This window comes from Homo sapiens, chromosome 9 (genome assembly GCF_000001405.40).
Source record: "Homo sapiens chromosome 9, GRCh38.p14 Primary Assembly".
NCBI lineage: Eukaryota > Metazoa > Chordata > Mammalia > Primates > Hominidae > Homo > Homo sapiens.
In genome coordinates, this window is record NC_000009.12 from 63,369,392 (window position 1) to 63,380,287 (window position 10,896).

The window sequence follows — 10,896 nt, forward strand, 5'->3', positions numbered from 1 at the left end:
AGAGTCTAGGAAGCTGAACTCACTCTGATAACAATCCACTCCTGGTAACTAATCCAGTCCCATGAAAAGGCATTAATCTATTCATAAAGGATCTGCCCTGTGACCCAAATAACTCCCACTAGGCCCCACCTCCCACACCAGCACATTTGGAATCAAATTTCAAATGGATGAAATTTCAAATGGCTGGTGGGAACAAATGATGTCCACATCACAGCATACACCCCACCTGCGGGGCCACGCTGCTGTGCCCCTCCCCTCCCAGCTGCCATTGTGCCCTGCCCCTTGGAGCCTGAGCTGACTTGGTGCCCTGCTTTCCAGGGAATCAGTGTCTTGGCCAGTCTAAGCAGTCACACCCCCCACTGCACGAGAGCTGAAGCACTGCCCTGCTTCACAGGGAATCAGTGTCTTGGCTGAGCTGAGCAGCCACACCTGCCAGGGATGAGCCAACATGGCACCCCCATATCCCAGGAAAACGGCATTGGCTGAACTGGGGTACCTTGCCCTTCAGGACAAACAACTGTAGAACCCTGCTTCCTTGGAACTGGACTAGCCCTGGAGAATCTGAGTTGCCCAGGCACCTGCCTCCCCAGGGAGAGAAGTAGTTGCTGTACTGGTCCCTGCCCCCGAGGGCCCAAGCCACAGTAGTGCTCCACCATTCTGGGGTCCTTGCTGATGCTGTGCCTGGCCTTTCATAGACTGAGATGCTGCTGTGTCCCACCACTGCAGGGTCCAGAGTCACTATCATGTCACTCCCATGTCCAGAGTCACTCCCATCCCCTGGGAGTTTACTTCTTAAACTCTTCGCAAAAACAGAGTGAGAGGAAATAATTCCAAACACATTTTACCAGGCCAGTATCACCTTAATACCTAAGCCAAACCAAAACACACACACACACACACACACACACACAAACACACACACACACACACACACACACGCACACACCAAACAAAAACTACAGGTCAACTTCTCCAATAAATTAAATACTGATGCAAACATCATAAAAAAATTTTAGCAAATAGAATTCAACAACACATCAAAAACATTATACATCGTGTTTAAGTGGGATTTATCCCTGGCATGCAAGGCTGGTTTAAAATATGTAAATCAATCAATGTGATATATCACATTAACAAAATGAAAGATAAAATGACATGGTCACCTCAATTGATGCAGTAAAAGCATTTAACAAAGTTTAGCAACATTTCTTGATAAAACCTCTTAATAGTTTATGTATAGAAGGAAAGTTCCTCAACATAATAAACACCATTTATGAAAAACCCACAGTCTAATCATAGTTAGTGGGGAACAACTAAAGCTTTTCCACTAAGATTGAGTACAAGATAGGGATGGCCAGCCTCATCACTTTTATTCAATAGAGTACTTGCAAGAGCAATCAGATGAGAAAAAAAAGGCAACTAAATTAAAGAAGTAAAATTATCTCTATTTGCAGATGACAAGATCCTTTACGTAAAAAACTCCAAAGAGTCCACAAAAAACTGTGAGAACTACTAAATCAATTCAGTTAAGCTGCAAGGTATAAACTCAACATATAAAAATCAGTTGCATTTCTGTATACAAATAACCTAGCTGATGAAGCAATCAAGAAAATAATCTCATTTACGATAGCATCAAAGAAAAACAAAAACTTAGGAATAAATTTAACCAAGAAGGTGAGAGATGTGTACACTTAAAAACCATAAAACATTGATGAAAGAAATCTAGACATGAACAAATGGAAAGACATCCTATGTTTATGGATCAGAAGAATTAATATTGTTAAAATGTTCACACTACCCAAAGCAAATATACAGATTTAACACAATCCTCATCAAAGTTCTGATGACATTCTTCACAGAACAGAATAAAACAATCCTGGCCAGGCACAGTGGCTCACGCCTGTAATTCCAGCACTTTGGGAGACTGCAGCGGGTGGATCATGAGGTCAGGAGTTGGAGACGAGCCCGGCCAACATAGTGAAACCCTGTCTCTACTAAAACTACAAAAATTGGCCGGGCATAGTGGCATGTGCCTGTAGTCCCAGCTACCTGGGAGGCTGAGGCAGAAGAATTGCTTGAATCCAGGAGGCAGAGGTTTTAGTGAGCCGAGATTATGCCACTGCACTCCAGCTTGGGTGACAGAGTGAGACTTCACCTCAAAAAAAAAAAAAAAAAAAAAAAAAAAAAGAAAAGAAAAGAAAAGAAAAAACAATCCTGAAACTCCTATGGAACCACAAAAAACCCCAAACAGCCAACAGATAACTGTGAAAGAAAAAGTTGGAGGCATCACACCTCTTGATTTAAAATTGTATTACAAAGCTATAGTAATCAAAACAGTATGGTGCTGGCATAAAAACAAAAAAATAGACCAATGGAACGTAACAGAGACCTTTGAAATAAATCCAAACATATACTGTCAACTAATTTTTGACAAGGGCAAACAAGACAACACAATGGTAAAAAAGATAGTCTCTTCAATAATAGGATTTTCACATGCAAAAGAATAAAATTGGACCCTGATCATACACCATACACAAAAATCAACTCAAAACAGATACAAGACCAAAGACCCAAATAAGACCTGAAACCATAAAACTCCTAGAAGAAAACATAGGGGGAAAGCCTCTTGACATTGGCCTTAGCAATAATTTTTTGGATATCGCACCACAAGCCAGGCTACAAATGTAAACATAAACAAGGAGGACTGCATCAAACTAAAAAGCTTCTGCACAGCAAAGGAACAACCAACAAAATGAAAGGGGAACCTACAGACTGGAAGAAATATTTGCAAACCACATATCTGATAAAGTGTTAATATCCAAAAATCAGTAAAGAACTCTTACAACTTAAGAGCAGAAAAACAACCCAGTTGAAAAATGGGCCAAATAGGAAATGACCAATAGGAAATGGGGAGATGTACATTAAAATAATACAAAGTAGCAGACATGTAGGATGAACAAGTTAGAGATCTAGTGTACATCATGAGGGCCATAGTTAATAAAAATATATTGTCTTTGGGATTTTTGTTAAATAAGTAGATTTTAGCTGTTCCTGTCACACAAACAAAAATCTAACTATGTGAGATGGTAGCTATGTTAATTTGCTTCACTATAGTAACCAGTTTACTATCTATATGTATCCTTTAAGATCATGTTGTCAACCTCAAATATATAAAATAAAATTTATTTTAAAAAAGAAAAGTTTTCCTTCAATCCAGAAAGAACCACTATTACCATTTTTTGGTGTTCCATTCCAAAATATCCCACAAATATACAATTGTTCAATCAAATTTAACATTAGACTTTATACTTGAACATTCAAAGTATGTAAGAAATTATAGAAAAGTGTCTGTGTGACTCCCTGTCTGTAGAGCACAGGCTTCATCTCCACTAACACACACACGACCAGTACCTTATACAGAGAGTCCTTGTTTGTCTTTAGTCTGACACCATGGGCGAGCCTGAGTTGGCCCGTGGTCCACATTCCTGACCAGGTGTCTTTCTCACCCACTGGTTTCAACAAAGATGTTACTGGGTTATAGAAGGCTGGGATGGAAACAGGATACCAAGTTCGCATGGAGACAATATCTGAAAAGAGGTAATTTACTTTAACGTTTTCAAAAGAAGATTCATATCCATATTGTGAAGAAACAAAGAACAAAATCTTCACTCCAAACTTCTCTACCTGGCTGCAAAGTATTTGAAGGGAAAGCTCGCTAAGGAAACTATTCTCATAGATCACAGAACTGTTACTGGGTGTGGCCAGGGGACTGCAGACACAAGGCAAATGGGCACACTGCATAAGACTGGGAGATCTAAGGCTGGAGCTGCTCAACTCTCTGGAGACCTGACTCCAGCCTCTCGTCACACTGGCTAGAAGTCAAGCATGAATGGTAACACCCTGCCCTGAACACTACTTAAGACACTCACCGCTCATCCGCAGCTTATCCTCAAAGCTATCCTGGAAAGCTCCTTCTGGAGCTCAGAGTGCTCTCTTGATCTGCCCCCTTATCCCACTGACAGTTCGAATCACAGCATCTTCAAATTTGGCCACTTCCAAGGCAGAATTAAACATTCCCTACAGGTATAGCAAGATAAAAACACACACACACACAAAATCATATACTTTATGCTTTACTTCTTACTTCAAACATACATCCTTGATTAAAGAACAAAAACAACTCACTGAAGGGTGATAAAATAATCAAAATGTATTTGCCCCTGAAAGTGGAATTACTACCTCAAAAAGAATACAACTCTTTCATTTTCCCCAAAATAATCATGTGAGTTCATGGGCATGCTCATCACTGCTGTCTGTGTGGAAGAGAAGATCGAAGAGGGATTTACTGGACTGAATTAGCCTAGGAAGCCTTTGCTGGCATCTCTCAGACTGGACTGCAGCCCAGATCCTTTTACTCAGATGCATGCACTTAGAACATGAAAACAGTAAGATAAACGCCGGTGGTATTATTACCTTATATTGCAAGAACATTTTATGACTTCCTAACACTGTTTTCAATAGAAACATCCCCACTAATGAAATTGTCAATAAATGCTGCTCAAACCACCCTCCCAAAATACTGAAAAACAGTACATCCATTTCTCTGTACCCTTGCCAAGTTGTCTGCAAATGCTTTGTCGATTTTTCTACTGAGTTAGACAAACTTGTGATTTTTTTCCCTTTCTTAACACCAATTTAAAAAGTAGGAAACAAAACCTAGTGGATAAAATGACATATTTTCAATATGAGTTCTGTGGCAGTCTCACATGGAAGTCAGGAGTAACAGCCTCAATTCCTAAATAGCTGTTTACCACTGCTTTTTTGAGCATATTTAAGTAATACAGAATATAAAGGAGCAAACAAAATATGAAGTTTATAAAAGATTTCAAACACTTTTCTAAAAATAAGAGGCCCACATTTTAGAGGTATTTCATTCCTTTTCTCAAACAATATGGACATTTATAAATATGAGAATATACAGATATACAGACCTTAATAAATGAAGTGTTCTTGAAAATTTTATATGGAAAACCAGTTAGCTTTAATTTCTTCACAACTTTTATGGATTTATCCAGATCAAGGACAACTCCTGTGGCAGCTATCCGAAAATCAGGCTAACAGGAGCCCCAAAATTTGAAAATAGGAATAATATTAGCAAGAGAAAAACTTCAATTCTATGTGACACAATAAATTACCAAAGTGAATTTTACTTACAATTAGTTAAGAAAAACAAGAGAGACCATCTGAACTTGCAACCCATTGGTTTGACAAAAGCAATCCAAAACTTTAAAGTTGGTAAGCCAAACTAACAAGGGTGACTTGAGGCCAGGCACAGTGGCTCATACCTGTAATCCCAGCACTTTGGGAGGCCAAGGCAGGTGGATCACCTGAGGTCAGAAGTTTGAAACCAGTCTGGCCAACATGGCGAAATTCCATCCCTACTAAAAATACAAAAATTAGCTCGGCATGATGGTGCATACCTGTAATCCCAGCTACTCGGGAGGCCGAGGCAGGAGAACCGCTTAAACCCAGGAGGCAGAGGTTTCAGTGAGCCAAGATCGTGCCACTGCACTCCAGCCTGGAAGACAGAGTGCGACTCGGTCTCAAAAAAAAAAAAAAAAAAAAAGAAAGAAAAAAAAAAGGCTACTTGAGTACTTTCCTGAGAGTGATTTCAGAGGAATGTAATTTTACTATAATGATTTATTTGGAACGAAATGGAAAAGAAAAATACAGTTGCAATGTTTAGGAAATTAAAATTTGGACCTCCAGGGAAGATTCCATCTGCTCATTATTCTGCTTTCTTCTCTGTTAAATGGGACCAGTAAACCCTGCCCTGCCTGACTGGTCAAATGAAAATGGAGTGAACAGACTGCTACCCCAGCACAGCTGCAGGGAGTCTTGTGTCTGGGTGGTCTCTGACGGCTCCTCATAACCTCATATAGTGCTTAGCACATGGTGAGCACTGCTTAAATACTTGCTTGGATAAATAAATGCAAAAGATGCATAAAAATAGGAAATGTACCATTATAATTCTTCCACCTCCCCTCCTCTAATCCCACACCCTACTGAAAAGGATGTACGAAGATTAAAAGCAAAGGGAAATTTACTTTATATTAATAAAAATGAGTAATTTTCAACTTAAAGTCTCATGTACATAATAACCCACATTCAGGATATATTTCTCAAACCAATCTGTAAAAGAAATCGTCCAAGATAGTTACCATTATGCCACTGACAGACTGTATTGCCAAGAAACCAGTTCCCTGTGGAGTGATAGGGTCTTAAAGGAAAAGGAAAAAAAGAAATATAGCAAACCAGAAATTTTAGATTCTAGTTTAACATACTGGATATTGACATTTAGATTTGGATATAGATGTACATATATACTCCAAACCACCTCCCCGCTCCCAGAAAAGAGAAACATCTTAGGAGTGGAATTTTATGAAAGGAAAAGCACAAAGCTAAAATAACACAGCCTGTAAAGTTTAATCTCGGCAATAGGCAAGTTATTGTAATCATATTTTACCCCAAAAGGCTGCTCCACAATGGATGTGCTGTGGCGTATACTTTAGAAGCCTTTGTCTTCCATTGTGGTCTTCGATATAATAGAGCAGGATGGTCTGAAACCTCCTCCACCCTACAGAAAATATGATTGGATCTTGGGACTTGAGGATTTTCTTATACCAGCGATGATTCTTCAGACGCATCTGAGGGGGATGAGAGGGTAAGATGATTGATGGAGGGGAAATCCACAGAGCCTCAGGCACCAAATACGCAGCAAAGGGACCCACCTGCACGTGTCCAACATTTCCCTCACTGTTGCCCAAGCCACCCAGGATAATGGGGTAATGGGGGTCAAAGTTCTGCACAAATTCACAGGGAACATTTTCAATCTCAACACGGACATACATCCCAGGTCGAAAACCCTCATACTGAACTCTGGCTTCATCATCTTGATCTTCAAATTCTACGTGATTCAGCTGTACATGATGGGGTTGGGGGGGAAAAACCTGTATGCTGTTATTTGTAATAAACATAGGATTAACATGAACAAATGAGCAATTTCTAAGTAAAGGAACTGTGGACAGAATTATGTAGGCTTTATCCTATTAAAAATACTACACATTTGGCCGGGTACAGTGGCTCATGCCTGTAATCCAGCACTTTGGGAGGCCGAGGCGGGCAGATCACATGAGGTCAGGAGTTTGAAACCAGCCTCGCCAACATGGTGAAACCCTGTCTCTACTAAAAATACCAAAATCAGCTGGGCATGGTGGTGCGTGCCTGTAGTCCCAACTACTCAGGAGGCAGAGGCGAGAGAATCGCTTGAACCTGGGAGACGGAGGTTGCAGTGAGTCAAGATCGTGCCACTGCACTCCAGCCTGGGCAATAGAGCGAGATTCCATCTCAAAAAACAAAAAAACAAAAAAAAACCCTACACATTTTACCTCTACAGTCTGTTCAGAATATGTCCCAACCATTTTCTTCTCTCCTGCTCCAAGGGACAGCAAATGTAGATAACTGTGGAGCCCTGCATGCTCAAACATTGGAAACATCCCCAGTCCACACTTTCTTTCCTTCCTCTCCAAATAATTCTTTCACACTTTTCCCTTGTCTTCAAACACCCACCACCACCCTCACCTTCACTCAGCTGATGGCTGTTTCCTGATTCACTCCAAAACCAAAAGAACCTCTACGGTCAACCCTATACCAGGGTTTCCTCCCATATCCAGCCTTATCAGAGCTCTGACCTGCCCCATAGAGGAGCTATGTGTGGCTATTTAAATTAAAATTAATTACAATTACATAATATTTAAAATGCAGTTCCTCAATCACACTAGTCACACTGGAAGTGGTCCGTATCAACCTGTGGCCAGTGTTACAACATTGGGAAGCACAGATGTGCATCTCCATGATCACAGAAAGTTCTACGGGCAGCTCAGGCACAGATGATTTGTCCATGCCTCTACTCAGGGCCACACATCACTTGCTCACTAGACACCATCCACTCTTCCTGGACTTTATTCCAACAGCTCTTCCCTCTGTTCTCTCTCTCATCTCAAAACCTTTTGATTCCACTTCTTCCACCAAAAACTGCTTCATTTCTCTGCTTCTCTCTGCAGCAAAACCCCACAAAAGTTTTCCACAGTTGCAGCCTCCAGTTCCTCTGCTCCCATTCTCCTACATCCATGAAAATTGGTGCTTGCCAAGATCGCTGAAGGCCTCCACGCTGAAGGACTCCTCCGGTGGTCAACTCTGCCTTTACCATAGTTAACACTGCAGCGGGATCTGAAAAGTGTTTCGCCTCCGTGTACAACTGGACTCCTGCGTGCCTGCAGGCTCACACTGCTTCTCCCTCTCCCTCCTAGGCACTGCTCAGGCCTCACGGCCGCAATCGCCCCATCTCGCCCATGCCAGTCTTGCTCCTCCCAGTCACTCTGCACTCACTCCCCGGCCACCTCACAGAGTTAAGTGGCATCTACATGCTGAGGGCTGTACATCTAAGTCCCTGGCCAGACCTGTCTCTCCAGACTTGACACTCCGCTTGTCTGCATGATACCCAGCCGAAACAAACATCATCTTCCCAAAACTGCATCTGCAGACAGTTTCCTATCTAACCTGCAACAACCCATCCTTCCAGGAACTTCCAGTCGCCATCCTCATTTCCTCACACACCCCACATTCAGTCCACCAGGAGATCCTACTGACCCAGCTTCCAAATAAACTCTATCCGGGTTTGACTCTTTGTCTCATCTCCACTGCCAGCCCTCTGGTTTGTGCCACCGGACTGATCTCTACCGGACTGATGTCTTGGCAGAGTGATCTGATTACCTGAATGTCTCTCCTCTGCTCAAAACCCTCCAAGGACTCCCATTTCAGAGTGAAACATTCAGTCTCTTCCAATGGCCCACAAGGCTCTAGGTAATTTTAAATTGTAAATGGTGTGAAGCAGAAACTTCAGAGTTAGCCTAGTCATGCCTTTCAAAGGTCAACACAGACTAGCAACCACTAAGCTAATGCCTAATCAGGAAACAGTCCTTTGACTAGATGAAGATCTAGGATGAAACTCCGTTTCACAAATCATATACCTAATCTGTTCCAGCTTACACAGGCACTCCTGGCCTCACTAACAAGACGCAACTCAGATGCTCACCATCAACTGTACACACGTTTCTGTGTCTGTCTCCTTCAGAGTGAGATCACCGCCTCCAGCAACCTGCTCAGCACCCCCAGGCAGGAGGGCCACACCATCTCCCTTTATCTCCGCATCTGACCTTATACTCCACATGTCCTTCTGAACTCTGACCAGGATGAGTTTTCAGAGCACTTCCCCTGGGAGCTCTGCTGTGTCCATAAGCCACACGGGCCACTGATCACCTGCCATTCAAATCAGGGAGCAGCGATCGGAATAGGCAGCATTGGCTTGCACTGAAATAAACACACTGTCTCAGATCACTACATTGTAAAAGTCTCAAAAGTAGAGACCATGTCTCAGTCACTTCGGTTTCCTAATTCTTGTTACAAAACAGGTATGGATCTTTTTCTGGTGATCTTCTGACTGTAGAAACAATGAGCTCACTGCATGAATAAATACACTCACATGCATCTACCCAGGAGTCCAAATGAAAGGCACAGAAGCAGGATAGGAAGCAGGGACCCAAAGAAAGTCAGGGATTCCTGCACTATGTGATAGTCTTGACAAGGGGCTGAGAGGAACTGAGGTTTTTCACCTGTGCTTCTTTCTGCATTTCTCCTTTAAGATCATCAAAATATGTGCTTTCTCCTTCATCATATTCTGCATCAAACATCTCCTTCAATTTTCTCTTCTTATCCAAATGCTTTTTCTTGGCACTTTCTTCTTCGTCGGGGTCAATTTCTTCCTTGTTTCTCTATATCTTCATTCTTAAATTTCCAGAAGAAAAAATTTTGTGTATGTTTATGAAGGTCTTTTCTTTAAACATTACATTTTTTAAAGTTCTATTTAAACAAAAATCTTAGCAAAAATCTGTTATCATTATCAATAAAACAAAACAAAACACAACATAACCTTTGTCTCTGAATAACATGGTACTGCTACAGGAAATTGTTACATCTGCATTACAATTAGCTGCTATTCCTTAAGCTGGCTGGGAACACAAACTAGAATAAAAATAACAGACATGTCCCTCACCCAGATGCTCCCAGACCCTGTTCTAAAGAAATATTAGGGAGAACAGGGACTTCATTCTTTTAAATGACACTTAAATTTAAAAAGAGGAGAATGATGGCAATGGTTGAATGTAAGTCTGAGAAGCTAAGACTTCTGTGAGTGAAAAATCACAGTGGTCTTGGCAAATGACTATGGCAAGAAACGGTAGTAACTGTCGTCCAAAACTTAATAAGTAAACAAGAAAGCTTCTCTTTGGTCCCCACATCCCCACCCTTTAGGAAGGAATCTATCCATCCAGTCTGCAATCTTCACACATCACAAGTAAGATTTGCATTTCTCAATGTGGGCCTCTCTCAGAACACAATGACCAAGAACAGCCAGCTACGACAAAGTCATACCTGAGTGTCGGGGCCCGATTTTCCCTTGTGCACGTCCTGTTTCCAAGTCTTCAAAGTCACCGTAGAGCTCCTCTGGGAAAAGAACACCCAAAGGCTGCTCTGTGAGCCAGGCATGCATGTGCTGCTGGCCCCACCCACGACAGGCCCACAGTGCGCTCCGCGTTCCAAGCCTCATTCTTACTGTTCCCGTCACTAGACACACAGGCAAAACTTTGCATTAGGGAATGCTTCGTAAAACAGTTAGTATTTCATCATCTGTTTAGGTAAACTAAATGGACCCAATCCACATTTCCGCACTTCATGTCAAAAATCCCAATCTCAATTTTTCCAGTATAGATAATGGACACT

The 10,896-nt window shown here is 41.7% G+C and overlaps 2 pseudogenes across 1 annotated transcript in view; one reads left to right on the forward strand and one right to left on the reverse strand.

Moving 5' to 3' along the window:
• Positions 1-9,456, forward strand: part of LOC100996643 (methylenetetrahydrofolate dehydrogenase (NADP+ dependent) 1 like pseudogene) — a 45,510-nt pseudogene extending 36,054 nt beyond the window's left edge. Inside the window, exon 4 of the transcript NR_160665.1 lies at positions 8,124-9,456. The product of NR_160665.1 is annotated as a methylenetetrahydrofolate dehydrogenase (NADP+ dependent) 1 like pseudogene, transcript variant 3 (transcript). The remainder of the gene's footprint in view (positions 1-8,123) is intronic.
• BMS1P10 (BMS1 pseudogene 10) lies at positions 3,412-10,621 on the reverse strand (annotated as a pseudogene).